Consider the following 22,715-nt stretch of genomic DNA (forward strand, 5'->3'; position numbering starts at 1 on the left):
GGTTGCACAACACAGAAATTCTGTTTCAGTAGGTCAAAAATAGGGCCTGAAAATCTGTTTTTCCCAAGCTCCAAGATTTATGTGCAGGTGCAGTGTAGGTTGAAAACCACTGATGCACCTGCATTTACTGCTTCAACAATGATACACTGATACCTGTGAGCAGACTAAGCACCATCAAAACAATCGTAGCATCAAAATGTTCTTTTTGGAAAAATTTCATATTTGAAATTAAAATCTAAAATAGAGTCACCATAGAGGAAAAAAGAATAGAAATAGTCATCATGGAAAAAATTACTTTGGGATTTATATGGGAAACAGTACTTTGACATTCTTATACTTAATTTATAAGTTAGTCATCTTTTTAAGGTAAAATTTCTAAAAATCTTTTCTACCAGTGAAGAATGGCAACGTGATGAATTACTTATGTAAACTAACTTCTCACCATCTTCCGTACCATCCTTTCATCAGATTCGGAGAAGTTAAAAATTAGACTCTTTTTCATCCTATCTCTCTTTTCAGTCCATCTTTTTCCTTTCCATTCATTTCCCTGGCAACCCTTCTTTTTGCCTTTTTAAAGTTATCTTCTTTCAAGTAAAAAAAGGTTGACAAAATGTCAAAACACTTTTCAAAAATGTTTTGAACAAGCAGGAGAAAGAGAAATATATCATGCAAAAAATATCAATGCCATATCTGTTTTCTTATGCTCCAGGATTGTAGAGACAGATCATATCTCTGATCAAGGGATGTATTAGCAAATATATGAAATAAAATAAAAATGTGCTCTGTCATGTTGATGATTTGACGCTTTCTTATTTTAAGGTGGTACAGAAGTTCAGGTTAAAATAAAAAATATTTATGAACTTGGTGGAAGAAAAGGATTATAAAATTCTGAAAAAATAGATAAGGGACAGGTAAAGCAATTAATGGGTAAGAATATTCATTGTGTAGAATCTATTCTAATCAGATCTTTGGAGCATTGTTTCTGTATGATATCTGCTGAAGGCTTGAACAGTGAGACAAATCTGTCTGTAAAAGCCTTTATCAAAATGCATCTAAATGTCATTTGCATCAGGCCTGACGACTGCATTAATAAATTGCTGAAACTCCTTAGATTTAACCCTTTTCAGCTACTGTCTGAACATGTCAGCATTTTAATTTTTGCATAAGTGCTATAGGGGAGAAACCTAGAATTCAGTTATGTGCATACAGGGCAACTTTTGAATCCTCCTTCCAAATTTGAAACCAACACTAAATTATTCTGGAGCACTTGGTACCAGTCCTGGCATGATGATAAAAGAGGATAAAGCTATGATCAGGTTTTTAAGCTATACACAATATTTTAGAATTCTTTCAAGAGGTTCATGAGCTGATATATATATATATATTAAATTATATAATATATAAAATGTATATATACATATATATTTAATTTCAATAGTTTTGGGGGAACAAAACTATTTTGTTTTTGGTTACATGGCTAAGTTCTTTAGGGGTGATTTCTGAGATTTTGGTGTACCTATCACCGGAGCCGTGTACAGTGTACCTAATGTATAGTTTTTTATCCCTCACCCCCTTCACCCTTCTCTCCAAGTTCCCAAAGTCCATTATATCCTTCTTATGCCTTTAAATCCTCATAGCTTAGCTCCCACTTATAAGTGAGAACATACGATATTTGGGTTTTCATTCCTGAGTTACTTCACTTAGAATAATGATCCATGGGCTGATATTTGAGAAGATCAAATGTATGGTGATAAAAACTTAGGTTTTAGAGTCATATCTGGATTTATATTTTATAACTCCTTCTTGCTAGCAATGTACATTTAATAAATCACTAAATTACTCTATGACCCAGTTTTCTCATTTGAACCTTGTAGGAATAATGGGTAATATTGACTCATTATGTTAGAATAAACCAGGCTGTAAACACAACAGGCTTCATATTTCCCCCAAACTAGGAGTAAATGGAGTTGCTGTCTAAAATTTTTTCAACACGTGGTATAAAGGCCTATTTTGGCTTCCTTCTCTGGGCTGCCACAGAGACGGCCAGCCACAGAAACCTACCCTGGTGTCATAGCAGTCAGGGTCAGCCCCTTCCGCACAGCAGGCTTCGGTCAAGGAGACAACTTCCTTCACAAGTTGGCTGACCTGTTCAAACGTGCCACTGGGAAATTTTCTACTGTACAGGACTAGTGACCTGAGGGGAAAATAAGACAATATATCAATTAGAACTGAAAGGTTTTTTTTTTTGAGACGGAGTCTCGCTCTGTTACCCAGGCTGGAGTGCAGTGGTGTGATCTCAGCTCACTGCACTCTCTGCCTCCCAGGTTCAAGCAATTCTGCCTCAGCCTCCCGAGTAGCTGGGACTACAGGTGTGCACCAATACGCCCGGCTAATTTTTGTATTTTTAGTAGAGACAGGGTTTCACCATGTTGGCCAGGATGGTCTAGATCTCTTGACTTTGCGATCCACCCTCCTTGTCCTCCCAAAGGGCTGGGATTACAGGCGTGAGCCGCCGTGCCCGACCAGAACTGAAACTTTCTTTTTACATTTTGGCACATTAAAATATGAAACCTGTTCAATGTTTAAATGAAATATTGTACACATTTACTTCTTTATTTGGCTAATGAAAAAAATGAGGTTTAATTTAAAAAGCAGTTTTTGTTCTAGGCAAATTTATCTTGGAAAGCAGTAGAAATTGAACTTAGGGCTTCCATCAAACCAATCTGGTGTTGTCCTTCTTAAGCCTCCCCAAATGTACTTGCTCTGTACCTCATTGCCTTGGTTTCCCAGATTCCTAGAATGTACAATTGCATTTTAATGACCTTAGAAAGCTATGCTTTACGTATTATCTTTGAACTCATTCATAAACTTACTGGTGACAAATTCTTAGACTGTGGTAATCAGAGGTCATCTGGAATCTCTGGATGTCCTTAATTTGCTTGACTCCTGTGCCTACCTTGGGCCTGGGGCTCTGTCCTCTTACTCTTGGCAAGGATTAAGGATTAACCTCCATGCTGAGTCAAAGTTACCTCACACTCAGTTTTGTTCAAGATCAAATCACCAACAGAGTGAGTGGCTGCTGCACACTTACAGAGATGTGAAGTCCTCCTTTCCCAGATGGGAGAATTCCTTGCAGACTTTATTCTTTTCATAATCCCGGCCTAGGAGGCAGAAATAGAAAAATTTGTATGTGTCCCCTTTTGATGAATATTATGTTACATGTACATGTATAAAGTGATCTTCCACGTGGCCTACAATGAAAGTCGTATTTTCTCAATGTCTATATGCAATTTCATATTTTGGGGGCCTTTCTAGCTCTTCTCTCATAACAGGCCACAATTTTATGACATTCTGTTATATTTTAGTCACCAGCAGAACAAAAGGAGAGAGTAAACTAATACTGAACGTAAGTGAGTCAAATGATACATGTCAACTAGTGAGTCAGAAGCTATTGATATGGCAACTATTAGGTCCTATCTTTATAATGATACCAAAATGAGAATTTTTCTCCTTCCCTCCCTCCTTCCCACCCTGCTTCCTCCCTTCCTTCTTTTAATGTCTCAGTTTTACCTAAGGCCTGAAAAGAAAAACAGAACTACAAATAATTGGAGACTGTCTCCACTCCAAGGTGAGGGGCTGGTGCCACTAATGCAGGACTTTAAAGGAGGTACAGGAGAGTTAGTGCTGCCACCCATGCTCTGCTACTTGGCTCCTGGCTGTCTAAGGGAAGGCTAGGAATTCAGCTGGGGACAAGGTGGAAATCAGGCAAAGAATATTTTAGACAAAGTGTGGTGAGTCTGGGGGATGGTGGGAAGTGTTTCCTTTCACTTTCACATAGTGACAAGGGCTTCAAGAAACCACTCAGCGCTTGACAGGGAGCTCTTGGAATTTGGGGTGTAATGGACAGGTGTCTGATTCAGGCTGGAGAAATCTAGAGGGTGATGGGCTTGCTAAGTGGCCTGGAGAACAAAGCAGAGGACTGGGTGGGAAGTTGTCATGTGACCTGCAGACCTGATGTAGCTCAAGCAAGAGAGCGAGCTGGCTAGGAGTTGTCTTAAATATATTTCCCCCAGTCCCAGCTCTACCCCCAACAAAGTGCTATCTACAGAGCAGTGGACTGCCAACAGTTGGGTCTCTGTGTGGAGGTAGACAATTTGAAAACCAGGGGCCCAGAGGAGAGTCTTAAGGTGCCAGCTGCATATGAGAGATCTCCAGGAATAACAAGGGAGAGAGATCACAGAAGAACACAGTAAGAGAAAACGGCAGCTTTACACATCTTGGTAACCAGAGGAGACAACCTTGGCTCACCATGCTGCCCATTGAATTTTTTGCCCATTGAGTTGAGTTTTTCCTGCTGCTATCTCTCTTACTAGCTTCTCCTTTCCTGTGTTAGCCCTGGAGGAGGTAGAAGCAGCCTAGAGCGTAGGAGGAAGGAGGAAAAGAGAACAGGCAAAGGAGACAAGAGGCAGGTATCTGTGTCTTCCTTTCCCACCACAGGCAATAGAACTGAAACAGGCCTGAATGGGGTAGTAGCTTCAACTTTCAATGAATTAAAACATTTTTGACTATTAAATGTAACTAGCCATTCTCATGATGAAATGACATTGGTATTTGAGAGGGAACAGAAAAATCACAGTACCTGCTCTTGAGTTCATTCACGCTACAGGGAAGAGCTAGTTACTAATCATGAGACCCCCTTGTTCAACATGTCCATCACATATGTAATAGGGCGGACACATCAAAGTCAGTCAGTGTTCTCCTAACCTGACTCATCATTTATGCAAATAAGCCCAGGAAATTTCCCTCCTGTGATGTTATATCTTTGGAAAAAAATGTAGGAAGTATATAAATTGCTTACTCTGTTTTAAGTGGCTTTAACTTTTAGTGGTTTATCCTTCTCACTTTAAGGGTTGGGAAAGTCATCTCAGGTGATATGATGGTAACTGCTGTCAGGCTTTAATCCCAAAGATTTCCTCTCCTCTCTAACAGTTACAATTTTATGGAAGACAGTGTAAACATATGCCTGGGTGGAAATTTCTATTTGATGGCTTGCAGTGGAGGTGGTGGTGATTAGATACAGACTTGAAAGGGTTGTATTTTTTTTTTTAAAGATTCTCTTTAGGACTCATCAGATTAATGTCACCTGTTTAATGTCAGATTGCCTGTAGAGGAAGCAGTCGCAGCATGTACTTTTTTGGATGGATACCCCCCCAAAATATTTTTGAGGTGAGAAAAGTCGGATTTGATAATTGTGAGAAAAAGACATTCTTCAGCAGCACTTTTTAACAAGAGACCTACTCAAACACCCTCAAAACCACACAGAAGGTGGAAAATAACCCACATACCTGAATCCTGAATCTGATGTTATTCTGGCAACTAGGACAAGGCAGTAGAGTTGATAAAGCTAATTGTTAGTGGAACCAAAAAAACCACTTGCAACAAACCTCTGTAATGTCTGAGAACCTTCACATCTTGTACATTTTCTGAAATGTATTGATTAGTTTACAAGGCTGGATATTGTGACACGTTCAAAAGGTTAAGCAAGGCAGAAAACTTCCATTAATCATTAATGGTATTTTATGGAATTGAAGACTAGAACACAGAGAAGAATAATTAGGGCTAGAACTGTCCTCATGTGGTGATGAGCTGTACTTACGATGTCAAGAGTTGTTTTTAGTTTGCTCCTAAAGCAGAGCTAGGAGAAATGTCTGGCAGTTACATGGCAGTAGATTCTAGTAAGAAATCTTTATTCCAACTGTGTCTATTTTATAACTGAAATGAAAGCAGCCTTTTGAAGAGGTGAGTTTGTTTTATCATTGTAAATATCAAAATAGATTTAAATAACCATATATTGTAAAGATCCCTGAATTTAGTACAATGTATCCTCATCATCTATAAGATCACTTGCTGGGGATTATAATCTAGTCTCTTTTAAAAATAGCGAGAGATTATAAGGAATATTTTTTCCCAAGGCTTACTGTATTTTAAGACATACACAAAATAGCCCTAATAAGAACTTCTTTTCCTTATAATAAATAGGAGCTAAGTTTGTTTAAATTCCCCCCTACAAAATGGAAGAGTTTATTTTTATTAGTACTTCTCTTGTGACCATTCAATAACATGCAAAGTGAAATCCTGTATTCAAATGGGGTACCCCCGATGAACATTTTGAGAAATATTTTGTTTCTAACCTTCCAGATTCTGATTTCTCATTTCACTAAAAATGTAAAGTTTCATTTCATATATTATGGGAATGTGAGTGTGCATGTGAAGGTAGTGTAACTGGGCACTGCATGTTATCCCATTAAATAGTTTGAATTTATTTAACTATTTGTGTTTGCACACAGCACTTTAGAATTCATGGGCATTATATACTGCTTTAGTTAGAATGCAAACTGATGAGAGAAAAGTGGGAAACTAGATGGAATGAATAAGGCTTAAAGAGGTTTTGAAACTATTTTTGCTGGAACATTCAGCCTTGGGCATAACAGGAAGCAAGGGAGGAAGCTCAAGAGGGATATTGAGAAAGCTCAGAATTAAAATATAAAAATAACCTGTAGAGGAAGCTGTTGCACCATGATCTTTCAGGTGAGCTACCCAAAATGTACTTCTGATAAAATAATTTTATAAATTCATTTGCCCAAAGAGAAGATATCTAGCTTACAAGACAAAGCCAATGTATGTCAATCATTGTCTCAATTTTCAAATACAGCAAATAAATACTAAAGTTAATTTGCAATGTGATTATTACTAATTGATTCCCCATTCCATGGAATACTGCTTAATAAATGTTTTTGGTGTAAAACCAGTTGAGCTCACTCCAATTCATATAGTTAATTCCTGTCTCAAATGAACTGTAAAATTATACGCTCTGTTTTCAAATGTACCATTCGGTTATAAAGAAGGTGATTTGGACTTTGATATGGCCCTAGTAAATATTGGCATAATCTTAGTGACTCTGATGAAATCACTTTCACATGAAGTGACCCCCCACAGTACTAAGTGTTTACAAATTTCACTAACAGAATTTTTGCTTTCTGCAATAGCATGTTTCACTTTTTATCTATATTGTGAAACATTCTGGTAAGTCTTGTTTAATTCTGAACTTTTGAAAGCCAGTGTGATTTATTTTCAGGAAATCTTTGCTGCTTCAGGCACCTTACCTCTGCCAACAGAGTTGACAATATTCATTCATACATGTAACAGATATTTTTTGAGGCTTACTTTGTGCCAGGCATTGGGTTCAATATTGAATTTGAACTTACAATGGAACCCAAAATAGACACATCCTTGCCCTCATGTAACTTTCGTTGTAATGGGGATAGCTAATAAGATACTGCTTTGTTACAAAGTTTATTAAAGTAGGTATTTGGATGCCTTCACTATTACTAGTCTTTCACTAAAACCTAATTTGGCTCCCTAGAACAGTTATTCGTATACCAAGTACATTAATGGATCCTAAATATCATTGACATAAATAAGTGCTCGTACAGGATGCTAGGAACTATCTCAAGTTGCTGTTTTCCTATTGTGTTCTGGAGAATCATGGGCTTTAACAGCTCTGTTGGGCATTTTATATTTTCACAATTTCATTTCTTTGGCATTTTTATTTCTATTCTGTACTGACAGACTCATCCATGTCAGAAAAGCTCAGTATATTTGTTAGTATTTTTTTAAATAAATTTACCTTTTAAGAATATGGTTTGCAGTGTTTATTCAAACTAGTCAGGCATGATATTGTTCATTTCACAGTAGTGAATTGACTTAAATAGTAAACATTATTGAGCTGGTTTAGGAAGCTGATCTGGTTATAAGAGATTTCTGTATCACTAAAAATATTGCCAATGAAAAAGTTTGAGCTTGAGTCAATGAAAAGAAATTCAACCCTTTTAATACTAAACCCAGAGACCCACATGACATCTATAGATAAACTAATCTAGAAGTTAACTGTACCTCTTAGGATGATATCAGTGCAACAAATTGAGCGTCCTTTCAGACTTTGAAAATTCAAACACAAACGAAAACAGCAAAAGATATATAGTCAATGGGTTAATTACTCAGAAACTGCAACTGCAATAGGAGACAGCATCACAGACTCACTCAAACTAATGTCCTTGGGTTCACCTCGGGTGGTAGCCTGTCCTTTGTGACACTTACCAAAGTTCCAGAGGAAGCATTTTTTCTCCATGCATTTCATCCCACCTCTCTTTCCTTTTGTGGGTTGGTTACCTCCTCATCTGTAATTGCTTTTGTAGGGGTAAAGATAGAGGGGGAGGTTTGCCTCTTCCACTTTTGGGATGGGTAAAGGTGATATCCCCTGCATTTAATTTGGACGCTTAGAACACATTGAAGCACTTAGATTCTACAGCAATATAAATATAAATAATAATAATATCATGATAACAATTAAAATTTGAGTGCCAACAATTTGGTGGTACTGTTCTAAATATTTGACATGTATTACTTGCTTTAATCTTCACAAAAATTTTATGAGGTTTGTGGTTATCACAGTTTACATCCCATGTTTACTACCTATTTTTATGCATCATTTTAAGAACTTCATCTCATATTTAAATTATTTCTATGAAAAATTGTACTTTAACTTCTAAATAACATATAACTTTTTGAGTACATTTTGTCCATGAGTTAGAGAATTACTCTATTGAAATTTAGTGATATTCTTTTTATGGTATCGAAAGATTCATTATTATTCATGCCTGTTTAAAAATCTTTATCTTTGACTATCAGTCCTGGAAAAAAGTCATTCTTATTCTTCATTTTCTTCCCCGGCCCTTTTTTTTTTTTTTTTTAAATGAAAAAGTTTGCAGGGTTTGGCACAGGAAAATAGAAAGGTGAGCAGATTGGTTGAAAGACTCAGGCGCTTTGGTCTTAGTAGTGACAGAGACTTGAAGTAATACTCACTAGACGTTTGCTAATAGATCTTATAAAGGCAGCATATACTAATATTGCCTTTAAGCAAAATTGTCTTTATTTTCCATGAAGGTTCTTTCAGGGCAAAGATCATGTCTAAATTTTTAGGTCCTGGATGCCTGGCACAATTCTGGACATTCCCATAAAAGTCACTTCATTAAGCAAGTATTATAAAATCTGAAGAAAGTATCATTCAACAAGGGCTGGCACAGTCATAGTTCCACATGGCACTCCTTTGATAAGGTGATATAAACAGTAAGTGGTGGTGATTCTGCCTCCCTGGCTAGCCATGTATGATCTATCTCAATTAAAACTTGAGAAAATATCAACTCAAAATGGATTAAAGGCTTAAATGTAAGACCTGAAGCTGTTAAACTAATACAAGAAAACATAGGGGAAAAGCTCCATGATGTTGGTCTAGGCAATGAGTTTTTTGGACATGACGCTGAAATTACAGGCAACAAAAGCAAAAAATAGACAAATGGGATTGCATCATACTAAAAGGCTACTGCACAGCAAAAGAAAAATTAACAAAGTGAAGAGACAACCCACAGACTGGGAGAAAATATTTGCAAACCACATATCTGATAACAGGTTAATATACAAAATATGTAAGGAACTCAAACAACTCAATAACAAGAAAACCAATAACCGATTTAAAACATTAGCAAAGAACCCAAACAGACATTTCTCAGAAGAAAACATACAAATGGCCAACAGGTTTATAAAAAATGTTCAGCATCAGGAATCATTAAGGAGATGCAAATTAAAACCACAATGAGATATCACCTCACACCTGTTAGAATGGCTATTGCCAGAAAGATTGAAAGATAAGCATTGGCAAAAATGTGGAGAAAAGGGAACTCTTTTCCACTGTTGGTGGAAATATACATTAGTACAGCCATTATGGAAAACAGTATGGATGTTTCTCAAGAAACTAAAAATAGAACTACCATATGATTTAACAATACCACTTCTGGGTATATATCCAAAGAAATATAAATTAACAGGTTGAAGGGATGTCTGCCCTCCCATGTTTACTGTAGCATTATTCACAGCTACCGAGATGCTGAAACAACCTAAGTGTCCATCAACAGATTAATGGATAAAGAAAATGTGATGTATTTACACAGTTGAATACTATTCAGCCTTAAAAAGAGAAGGAGGGGAATTCTGTCATTTGTGACAACATGGATGACCCTGGAGAACATTATGTTAAGTAAAATAAGCCAGGTACAGAAAGAAAAATACTGCATTATATCATATATGGAATCTGAAAAAGTTGAACTCACAGAAGAGTAAAATGATGGCTACTAGAGGCTGCAGGGAGAAGAGGAGGGAGGGAATGAGGAGCTGCTGGGAAAATAGTGCAAAATTTCAGTTAGACAGGAGGAATGTTTTGAGATCTATTTTGCGTCAGGGTGACTATAGTTAATCATGTATTTTATATTTCAAAATAACTTGAGTAAATTTCAAATGCCTCAGAAAAAATGATAAGCAGTGAGATGGTAGAGGAGTTCATTGATGATTTTATCATTCCCCATTATATATAGATATCAAACTATTCCATTGTGCCCCAGAAATGTATATAATTATAATTTGCCAATTAAAAAACAGTACATTTTAAACCAGAAAACACTGTACATGGGTGATTTTCTTTCACTGTTTCCTAACAAAATACACGTCTTAATGACTACTGAAGTTATACTGTATAAACCGAAATCAAATTATGCAATCTAATGGAGAGGATATATTGGATGTGTATCATTATTTATGTCTCTATCATCACACATGTTTTTGTCAAACAGATCCCCGAGCCATTTAAATGCATTTGAAGTCCAACAGATTGCATTATCTTGTATAGGAAAATTTCTATTTCAAAGATTAGTAATTTATCTTTTTAAAATTATAAAAAGTAGATATTTATATATTAATTTTTAGTATGGCCAAAAGAGTTTTATGGTGCTTGTCTGCTATAGTGATGTGTTAGCAAGAATTTTTTTTTCATGAATGGAATATAATTTTCTAATTTTCTTATTAAATCCCAGTAAGAAACTGAAGGCTTATTATTGGACAATTGTAAGAACTGTAATTTAAATGGGAAATTTCACTATCAAGTACTCAATGCTATTTTGTGTTAACCATTGTGATATACATTGCTTTAAGTGCTTTTATAGCACTTCATTTGTCTTAGTAAGGCTAAAGAGAGCCTTTTAAACAAATAAATTAATAATGAGCTTTGCAGTATCATGTAGATGGAAAATGGAATGCCAATGTTTTCTATAGGATATATACTAGATATTACATTCCAATTGCCACCAGGATATAATTCCTTAGATATATTTGCTAAGAAAACTTAAAAGGAACACTCACTTCAATGTTAGCCTAGTCAACAATCCAACCATGTATTTTGTTATTTATATTTTTTAAAATCTAGTATGCAATTGTCAAATAAAAGTATTTTCATTTTAAAACCAATTATTACCTAACATTTGCAGCAGAACTGATAATATCAAAATAACAAATTTACTTTCGTGTAGTAAAATTTGAAGACTGAAATGGTTATTCTAAGACTGTGCTCTTGCTATTGTATTTTTTAATAGATAAAAAAATCACAGTTATTTCCATATAAAAATATTTTCACTCATAAATGGGAGTCGAACAGTGAGAACACATGGACACAGGGAGGGGAACATCACACACTGGGGCCTGTCGGGGGTTGAGGGCTAGGGGAGGAATAGCATTAGGAGAAACACCTACTGTAGATGGTGGGTTGATGGGTGCAGCAAACCACCATGGAACATGTATACCTATGTAACAAACCTGCAGGTTCTGCACATGTATTCCAGAACTTAAAGTTTATATATATATAAAAAAAAACAAAATAAAACCCACATAGGAATTCAGCTGCATCAGCAGATATGAATGTGAAAGACATGTATAACTACATAACACTCCTTGTATATTCCAATAAATCTTTCTAAATCAGCTTTCAAAAAAAAGTTATGTAAGTTTCACTTCTCTAAGATGAAAAACACAATTTGTTAAATGTAAACATATTTAAACAATTCATATGTGATTTCATTTATAGAGAATAAAAATGACTGGTAACTAATTATTTTGCCTATTTTAAATGTAAAGATACAATTATTTGTTAATATTATTTTCTTTAGGTAGTGTTAAACCTCAAGTTACTATTTTACCATGACACCCAGGTTAGCAAACCCAAATGCTCATAGGATCTAGGAACCACACAACTTACATTTGATCCAAGGGAAGAAAGCATTAAATGCTCAGTGGTGAAAACTGAGGGTTTAGTCCAAAAGGAGGAGTGACAATTCAGCTCCAGTTCATCATTGCCATGTGAAAATTTGGCCCTTATTACCACACATTCCTGTGTTTCCAGAGAAGCTAGAAATCTAGATTTTTTTGTGGAATCTCCAGGTTTTAAAATGTTGACAAGTGAAATGAGACTTTAAAGACAGACTTAAAGAAACTTTGTTGGCCCAAACCATGAGGGCCAAAGAAAACATCCATATGAGGATGTATTTTATCATGATTTAAGATAGAGGCTTTGGATACAGACCACCTGGATTTGAATTCCTGCTACCCTAGGTGATAGTGAGACCGCTGGCAAGTTGCTTATCCTCTCTGTTCTTCCTCAGTTTTCTCATTTGTAAAATGAAGATTGTATCCTCAGGAAACAGAATATTGCTGTCAGTTATTATTATTATTATTATTATTATTATTATTGGCTAAATCCAGTTCATGATCATTTTTATACATATGAGTGTATATATTTATGTACATACCTATTTATACACACACACAAAAACACACACAGACACATCAGCTATCTCCTGGGAGCATGGCATCATATGAAAGAAAACTCTAAAGCCACCAATCTTTAAGGAACCTGAGTCTGATGGTAGACATACATATACAAAAACCCAATTTTGTAATATTACACAATAATTTTTTGAACACCTACTAAATGCCAAGTAATGTTCTATTACTGGGAATTACAGGAAATAACAAAAGTTCTTAATTTCACAAGGCTTGCATTCTATATTTGTTACAATAAGCAAATGAACAACCAGTGATAAGGTAAGGTACTAGGTGCTAAGAAGAAAAAATAAATCCAAATAAGGGGATAGAAGATAATGGACTGGTAGGTGTTATTTGTGGTAGGTTGGCTAGGGAAGCCCCCTCTATAAATGGACTTGGAGTAGATGCCTGAAGAAGGTGAGGAAGGGAGCTATGAGAATATCTGGACAATCAATGTTCTAGGAATAGAGAAGAACTAATGCAAAGCCCTGGGGTGCAAAGGACTTAGAGTGTGAGATAATGTGGAGGCCAGTGTGGTCAGATCAGAATGAATGAGAAAAATAGGAGAGAGAGAGAAGAAGCAATGGGTAGAATGAAGAAGTTAGGTGACCAAAAATACTGGGGAAGGGCATCATCAATTCCTTTTAGAGGTTTCTTCATTTTCTCCTGTCCTAAATAGATTAAGCTGGTGGTGTTTTACAGAGTGTGCACACTTCTCCTTATATTACATATTGGTGACTGCATATGTGGCATTGCACCTGATATCAGTAAGATGAAACATTGCTATTGATTTTCAGGGAGGTTAACATTGCTCTCAGTGATGAGAGCTGTATGACTTCAGCCCTTGCGTAGGGCTGTTTTGACAGGGAAGGAAGAGAAGGAAAAGTGTAGCTCACCCACCAACCCAAAGGGAACTTTCTTCTTGCAGTTTTATATCATGTTTAATAAAAAAAAATGCTGTGAATGAAATGCTTAAAGCAAAAAGGAAAATGTTCATAATAAAAACCTCTTTTTGCCAACAGCTCTTATCAACTGCAGTGGTTTATTTCCTGTTGGCATGATTACCTTAATAATTTTGTAGCTGTGTCACGACCCTCTGATCTTTGACAAACCTGACAAAAACAAGAAATGGAGAAAGGATTCCCTATTTAATAAATGGTGCTGGGAAAACTGGCTAGCCATATGTAGAAAGCTGAAACTGGATCTCTTCCTTACACCTTATACAAAAATTAATTCAAGATGGATTAAAGGCTTAAATGTTAGACCTAAAACCATAAAAACCCTAGAAGAAAACCTAGGCAATACCATTCAGGACATAGGTGTGGACAAGGACTTCATGTCTAAAACACCAAAAGCAAAGGCAACAAAAGCCAAAATTGACAAATGGGATCTAATTAAACTAAAAAGCTTCTGCACAGCAAAAGAAACTACCATCAGAGTGAACAGCAACCTACAGAATGGGAGAAACTTTTTGCAATGTACCCATCTGACAAAGGGCTAATATCCAGCATCTACAAAGAACTTAAACAAATTTATAAGAAAAAAACAAACAACCCCATCAAAAAGTGGGCAAAGGATATGAACAGACACTTCTCAAAAGAAGACATTTATGCAGCCAAAAAACACATGAAAAAAATGCTCATCATCACTGGTCATCAGAGGAATGCAAATCAAAACCACAATGAGATACCATCTCACACCAGTTAGAATGGCAATCATTAAAAAGTCAGGAAACAACAGGTGCTGGAGAGGATGTGGAGACACAGGAACACTTCTACACTGTTGGTGGGACTGTAAACTAGTTCAACCATTGCGGAAGACAGTGTGACTATTCCTCAAGGATCTAGAACTGGAAATACCATTTGACTCAGCCATCTTATTACTGGGTATATACCCAAAGGATTTTAAATCATGCTGCTATAAAGACACATGCACATGTATGTTTATTGTGGCACTATTCACAATAGCAAAGACTTGGAACCAACCCAAATGTCCATCAATGATAGACCGGATTTAAAAAATGTGGCACATATAGACCATGGAATACTATGCAGCCATAAAAAAGGATGAGTTCATGTCTTTTGCAGGGACATGGGTGAAGCTGGAAACCATCATTCTGAGCAAACTATCACAAGGACAGAAAACCACACACCACATGTTCTCACTCATAGTTGGGAGTTGAACAATGAGAACACTTGGTCACAGGGTGGGGAACATCATAGCCTGGGGCCTGTCATGGGGTGGGGAGCAGGGGGAGGGATAGCATTAGGAGAAATACCTAATGTAAATGACGAGTTAATGGGTGTCAGCAAACCAACATGGCACATGTATACATATGTATCAAACCTGCACATTGTGCACATGTACCCTAGAACTTAAAGTATAACAATAATAAAAAAGAAAACTTGAATCGAAAAAAAAGAAAAGAAAAAAATGCAAAAAAAATATTTTTAGTGCTCTGTTAACAGTGTGTAACTTAAAACTGAGAATTTTTTTGCTGTAGTTTAATTTTAAAAAATCAATTTTTATAAATGTTTCCTGGTCATTAAGGTAACTTTTCTATCTGCAAGTTAAAAAAAAATTTTATAGCTGTATCACCAGTCTTTGTTACTTGGTTTCTTTGGAAGGGAAGAGGGAAAGATATATTGTATATTAGTATTTCATCCATTTCAGTCCTAGGGGAAGAAGCTACTTGTAGGCAACTGGGAAATACTGCCTTGTTGCTTTTCATAGGGTAGCAAAAGTGGACATTTTCTTATGGTACTAACCAGATTTAGCAGATTTGGTAAGCTCTCTTCTCCAAGATGTACCCAGTGGCTTGGGAACAAGATTCCCAATGCTGTTTGATAGGAGAGGGCTGGCTTAATTGGAACCTGTCCAGTAAAGGGTCATCTGTAACAGTATCCATTTTAGACCCAAGGTTTCCAAAGAATAGTTCCACAGGTATAGACATTGTAGAAAAGGGTCAATATGTTTAGATACTCTGAGTTAGATAAGATTTCTTTCCTGTAGTGTTTCTCAGAACCTTTAGGACGACAAAGGCATGAATTGTGAAACCACCAAGAAGGAATAAATTATGGCTCATTTCTTAAATATATTTGGCCACAGAAACTTCTTTTCAAGGTAAGTCTTGAGTGTAATATATTTTGAAACAGGTGCTTAAATAAATGCTGTGGGTGGTCAGCTCTCTAGAACTATAACAGGCAGAGAAAACTGCAATTCAAACCAATCCCCCACAATACAAGGCTACTCAGAACCTAAGAGTTCTCAGAACTCCCTTAATCTGTACACTTTGTAACTTCCTGCCAGGAAGAACACAGCTAGCTTCTAAGTAAACTGCTGACTTGGTCTTTGGGTCATGCTCAGGTATTAGAGAATAGAGAATTGATAGATCAGGACTACTCTCCCCAAATATTGAAAGTTAATGCTTACAAGTGTATTATGTATGTCTCAAGATATCATCTGGCATATGGCACATGGGTTATAAGAATGAAGTTTAGATCTTCTAGGGGACTGACTGGAGGTTTTTAGCATCCATTTCATCAGAATCTGAGGACTGCTGAGAATGTTGAAATATAGATTGCAGAATGCTCTGTTATTCTCCAAAGGACACTTTCATTCTTTGAGGTGAAGCCAATGTGCACCTATTGAGTCAGCAGTCTAAGATGGTGATTCATGCTCCTGCTTATGGCCTCCATATATAATTCCAATTCCTAGCCATTATTGGACCTTCTGTGTTTGAAGACCCTGATCTGAACCTGCTTCAGTAGGATTTTTCAGGATCAGATCTGCCCCAGCAAATCCTTGGCCAAAAGAATAAGACTTAAAGGGATTTCTTGGAACATGGCCTATTCAGAGGTCTTATAAGGGACACAATTTATGTTGCTTTTTTATACCCTATGCTGTCTGGGAAAGACTTTGTAGTCTTACCTAAGGACGCATAGCTTACTTAAGAATTGATGGGTAAGACGAGTTAAAATAATTTGAATGATGAAATAAGACCAAGGAAAAGTAAATGTAAGAAGAAGAATAAAAAGTCAAGAGTAAGGTTATTCATGTTACAGTTAATAACTGATAATTCTTGGGAACACACATTTTATTCCACTGGCAAAACACATTACTATTATGAATAATAATGTACGAATTAGGTGAGGCTGTTAACTGACAGCACTAAATGAAAACCTTAATTTTACAAAGCAGGATAAATGCAGATGTCCCTTGTGAACATTAAAGAATCAGCCAGAAAAGTAAATTGAAGCTAATGATGAAAAGTTTCCCAGCTGTAGAATTCATAAAGTTGTATACTTCCCATAATCTCAGTCTTTATCATGTAAAAAAATTTTTAAACATTGCCCAAAGATGAACACACCATCTGAAGAATAATTTCAATGAAAAATATAACTGAATTATCTTATTTGTGGTTATGTTTCATAGCTATAGAAAAATTTTATGTGAGGGATATTTTTAAAAATACAATGCATTTTCAAATACTGCATGTATAAGATTCCTCTAAGGGGATCAAAGAAATCTCTAAGTTGACATCATGCATCATTGGCATGGTATATTACACTCAATGGTAATAAATATTTGAAGTCTGAATAAATGCTTAATGGTGGATCACAGTCTTTATTTGCATTATCTTGTAACAATTAGCAAATGTCTAATTTTAAATTATTCTCTCTAGGTCTTGCTTATCAACAAAGGAGGAAGAGATAATTGACAAATTATATCATTCCATTTACTTTCTTTAACAAGATTCTTGTGTTGATTTTTTTTGTCAATTCCAATTCAACATTACATGGCATCGTGGAGCTCTGATTAATGCCTCTCTGGTCCTTATCCCTCTCCCCAACATATTCACCAGTTCTTCTGTTTCTTACTTTTTATTTCATTTTTTAAGTGATAATATAAAATTAAACTAGTAAGAATTCCTGTAAATGGTCACAACAAAAGAAATCTTACCTCTCTCTAAAGCATGTCCAAATGCCACAGCAAGCAGTAGTACCAGGACCCTCTTCATTTTTCTACCAGAGAGTCTTGCAGCACCTCCTCTCTCCTGTAGGTGACCATGTAAAAGTGGTAGCCAAAAGTAATTGGTTTCCTTTTTACAAAGATTCCTGACTATGAATTAATCAATTATTAATCTCAGAAGCAACACAGAATTATTATTAAACACAGAAGCAAGGGGCTGTTATCTTTGGCCCAAAAGAGATAAAATAATATCAATCAAGGTAAATAGACACCCTGGGGATACTGTAGTGGAAAATCTAGGAGATTTTAATCATTAACTTTGTCAAACTGCAAAAGAGCCAAGGTATATAGATTATTTTCCACTGCTGTTCCTCACTAAAGTTTACTTAATATGTTAGTAACGCACACCTTCTCCCCCTGTATAGGGCTGTGTGTCTTCTTTGGACACCCCACCTTTCTCATATGTAAGTGGAAAATCGGAAACTCTGTCTTTACCTCTCTTCCTCTCTTTGTTTAAATCTACTACAAATAAGCATTACCTTAAAATATTGCAGACCAGATGTTCTAAGTAAAAGGGGAAAAAGAGTGAGAAGCCAATTCAACATAATATTTTAAATCCATAATTCTGATGCTATGAAGTAATCTTATTTTAGATGATGGCATAGTACTTTGTATTTCTATGCTGTATTGCACTTTGTGAAGCACTGACATATATATGAAAAATAACCTTTGAAGTGAGGCAAATAACTGGAGAGGTTAAATGGCTCACCACTGCCAATCATAAAAAGTTAGTGGCAAATCTTGGACTCCCTACAGTGATTTTAAAGCTCCTTCTACTAATAGTTTACAACTAGTATATTTTATGGGCATGTAATTTGAGAGCTCAGAGAGGCCCTGTAGGACATGAAATCCAACATCTTCATTTTACAGAAGAGTGAACTGAGCACTGGGTAAATTCTGTGACTTGTCTAGAGAGTCATAGGTAGATCATTCATTGGAATTAGATGAGTTCCACTCCTGGTTTTTGCAGTAGCCCTATTTTCAGGAAATGGTCAGGTACAGGTTGTTACACATGCTCTAAAATCAAATCCCTACTCAGCTTTCATAGCTGTGTAACCTTGGGAAATTTATTTTACCCCTCTAAGTTTCATTTTCCTCATATGCAATGTGGTGATAACTCAGTACATTTGACACAACATTGCTATGAGGTTAATTAAGGTAATCTGGGTGCAGGGCTCATGGTAACATCCATCACATAGTAACATGGATTAATGTCACCTATTACTCTTATTCTAGTTATTGCCACGTTCTCCCACTGGCTTTCCAAATTTATAATATCTGTGAAGGTCAATGAAACTAATGAGGCCATTGGAACTCAGTGGAAGAGTTTAAAGACAGCCCTGTGTCCAGGGTCCCGCAGATAAGTGATTTAAAACTTCATTATCAACTCAGTAGCCAAGGATTATCTACATGGGCAGAGTCTATCAAAATTTCAGTAAACCAATTTAGGTAGTTACATGTTTAGTCAGATTTTCTATCTATACTGAAAATCCTTGGGTGTTAGGTTCAGAAAATAGAGTCCAGCTAGTTGGAAAAAGATACCTATGCCAGATCAAAGCACAAGTATTTCTGTAAGGCCAGTGGAAATCCATATGGTCAAGGAGATAGCTTTCCTGTCCAAGAGCCAACTCTATCTTGTTCAAGGATCAACTTCCTGATTACTATAAATCTAAATTTTCAGTTCCCTTTGGCTGAATTCCTAGTTTACTGTGCAAGTTAATTTAAAAATGTATTTTAGTTCTATGGCAAATTATTTGGAAATGATACTCCAAATGAGTGTGAAAAAGTTTAAAAACTACTCAGAACCCCGGAACTCAAAAGAGGTAGGTAACACATTAGCATATTGATACAGTTTTCATTTTTCTTTAAGATAATACACTGTATTTATACTTCTGTATCCCTTTTATTCAACTGTATTTCGTCATCTTCTGATTAGTTCATTCAAAAAGACACACTCAGATTATTTTCTACGAATTTTGATACAGAGTTTAAGACCAGCTCATTCTTTCATTTTTTAAAAAATTAAACTTTATCTCTGCTTTTGCAATAATATTTACCACGTTTGTTTAATGATAAACTACATGTAGCAAGAATTGCAACATCTCATTTAGATGCCCTCTTGAGAAATCTCTATACGAGCTGCCAAATGCATTCTCTTGGCTGAATTTTCTAACTGAAATTCGGCAAAACAGGCTAGTAGCTAAATATATGAGCCTTTTTTTCAGTCTTATTTATGTAACTTTCCTTAATCTTTCAAATGTTGATTGCTTACTGTGATTCTAAAACTGGGAAGAAATAATCATAATTGGCCTAAATGAGAGGCCTCATGTGACAATGATTACTCTAGTAAGTCAGATGGGGAAAAAATGGGTGAAAAAGACCAAATCAAACCTTCTCACATTGTCTATAATAGCAGCAGTTATAGCAACTAGAAATGTATCACTGAATATATATATTTAACAAGAATTATTTATTGAATACATAAGCAGTAGAATTTTGCAGGAGCTGTTTTTCCTGTAAAAAACTGATTTGAAGTAGCCTCTTTCCCTCTTTCCTCTTTTTCCATCTTGCCATTGGCTTCAGAGGAAATGCAGATCTCTTCCTAACTAGGGCTAGTTCCAGGCAAAATTGTGAGGCAGATAAAGCCTGTCTTTAGTTCTTTTCTCTATCCCATGTCTCTTCTTTCAGTAAACCTTAGTTACTAAAAGATAACACTGACAACTGCTCTTTATCAGAACAGTACCTTCCTTTAATGCTGCGACAGTCTTCTAAAAACTCTTGCAGTACTCCTGTAGAAATGACCTTCTTCAGAATGATTTTGTCTGGTGTTCTCTTCGTTCAGATTCTCTTTATACTATTAAAATGCATTATCAGTATCTTTTCCTGATAAATGACCTGACAAAATTGATATTAGTGGATCGAAGTAATATCTTTAAAGTTGATGTACAGAGAAGAACAGAACACAATCCAGGTTTCAGAAAATTCTTATAGTTCAGCCATTTAGCTATGATTGACTTCCATGAGAAATTCCAATATCCTTGTAATAAATCTCTTTTTACTTAAGCTTATTCTAGCTGAATTTGCAATGAAAAGCATTCTAACTAACCTACCTTTAAATCATTCTCCCCTCTGTTACTGTCATTATTTATCAAAAATGCAAATAAGACTGTGTTTCTGCCTCCCTATTTAAAATGACTTAGGCCAATGCCTGTGCTTAAAGTTCATAAATTAATCCTACTTACCTCTAAAAAGGATTCTTTGCTGTGTATGTACATTAAAATTAGGTACGGTTGAACTACTTGTGGTTCACTGAACACATTGTGCTATTGAGCTTTCCACTGTCTTTGTTCACATTCTTCTTTCTTCCCTTACTCTATTTTACGTGTCTGTTGTCCCTCGTCTGTCAGTCTTTCATTTATTCATTTAACATATATTTAATTCATACCACTTTGTACCAAGTAACATGCAAGCTATTGGTACTACCATATCAAAAGATCTACATGGCTCTTCCCCTCATGGACCTTCTTAGTCTAGCTGGGAAGACAGATGTTGAAGACAAAATGACAAGTGTGCTGAGTTGTGAGGGTGCAGAGAATGGGAGGGGTAAGAGTAGATACAGTGAGAGTAGCTTGAAGACTGCTTTAGAAGTCCAAGCAAGGGATGACAGAAGTGTGGCCTGTGGTGCTGGCAGAGGCGTGAGATGGTTTAAGACACAGAATCATCAGAGAGTGGTAATTGACTAGACTTTGGCTGAGGGGGGAAGAGTGAGAAATTATGCCCAAGTTTCTAGCTTGTGCAAGTGGATGGATATTAATGCCAATATCCAAAATAGAAGACACTGAAGAAGACACACAGTCTGATGGAAGATGTTTTCAGGTGGAATTTTGAGTAGGCAGCTGGGTCCATGACTCTGGAGCTTGGAAGACACCCAAATTTCCAGGTTGTGCTGAGTCCACCTCCTCTGTGCTTTGCTCTCCCACAGTGCTCCTACTATAGCTAAATCACCTTCATTTTGGTATTCCCAACAGCTAGCACAGCTAGCACAGATAGAAACTGAATGTAGTAAACACTAGTCATAATCAGTTTAATGAAGGAATTTAAATGCCTAGAGAAATTTATCAACCCTGGATTTAAAAATGAAAGACATGCTAGAATTCTGTAATTCGTTTATGCTCACTGAAATCCAGGTATAATTTGAGTAATCATGGTTTTCATGAACCAGCCAATTCATTTTTAATTTTACTTGGATTTTCATGAAAATCTGCAAATGATTTATTCATATTTTAAAACAATAGGGGCGGTTATAGAAATATATTCCACAGAGTGCAGGAGTTCAGAAAATGCTGACAAATATAAATGAATTTATTAACCAAATGGTTTCATTTATTTTAAAATAAAAATTTGAGGAACAATTAGAGATAAATTGTCTTCTGCCATGATGCTCTTTACTAAGGCTGTAGTAGTTTATGAGGTCTTGTATAACAAACTGCCAAATAACCATAACTTTCCCAAAAACACTTCCATAAAGAAATATACATCACTGAAGAGAAACAGATATTTAAGAGAAATGATGGTTCAGACTAGATGCAAATGATTTTATCTTCTGCTTGAAAAAAAGCAGAAAGGGAGAAAGAAGGAAAGAAAGAAAGAAAAGAAAGAGAAAAAAAGAAAAAGAAAGAATGAGAAAGAAAGAAAGAAATTGAAAATAGAATTTAAAAAATAGTGCAGGAACAAGGTTTATATGAGACTTAGCTGATAATCACAGAGAGGCAGCTACACCTCTTTCCACCTTTATTGGTCAATGGAATGCAGAATGCCATAATAATCACTGTTAAATATATAGTCATAACTAGTTAACTGTGAGCTAAATGTTCTTAAGTAAAATATTTAGGTTCTTAGTATTCTTAAGTAAAAATATTTAGGTT

The 22,715-nt window shown here is 35.9% G+C and overlaps 1 protein-coding gene across 4 annotated transcripts in view; it reads right to left on the reverse strand.

Moving 5' to 3' along the window:
• Positions 1-22,715, reverse strand: part of GC (GC vitamin D binding protein) — a 63,828-nt gene that overhangs the window by 24,547 nt on the left and 16,566 nt on the right. For 2 of the 4 annotated variants that reach the window (NM_001204306.1, NM_001204307.1), the window contains exons 2-4: positions 17,722-17,815; positions 3,092-3,161; positions 2,062-2,194 (exon numbers count right to left, since the gene is read on the reverse strand). In NM_001204306.1, coding sequence (NP_001191235.1) covers positions 2,062-2,194; positions 3,092-3,161; positions 17,722-17,779 — 261 coding nt within the window. In that variant the 5' untranslated portion in view covers positions 17,780-17,815. Of the gene's footprint in view, positions 1-2,061; positions 2,195-3,091; positions 3,162-17,721; positions 17,841-22,715 lie in introns of those variants that run through there. The other 2 variants (NM_001440458.1, NM_000583.4) reach the window with 1 other exon arrangement.

Source organism: Homo sapiens, chromosome 4, assembly GCF_000001405.40.
Source record: "Homo sapiens chromosome 4, GRCh38.p14 Primary Assembly".
NCBI lineage: Eukaryota > Metazoa > Chordata > Mammalia > Primates > Hominidae > Homo > Homo sapiens.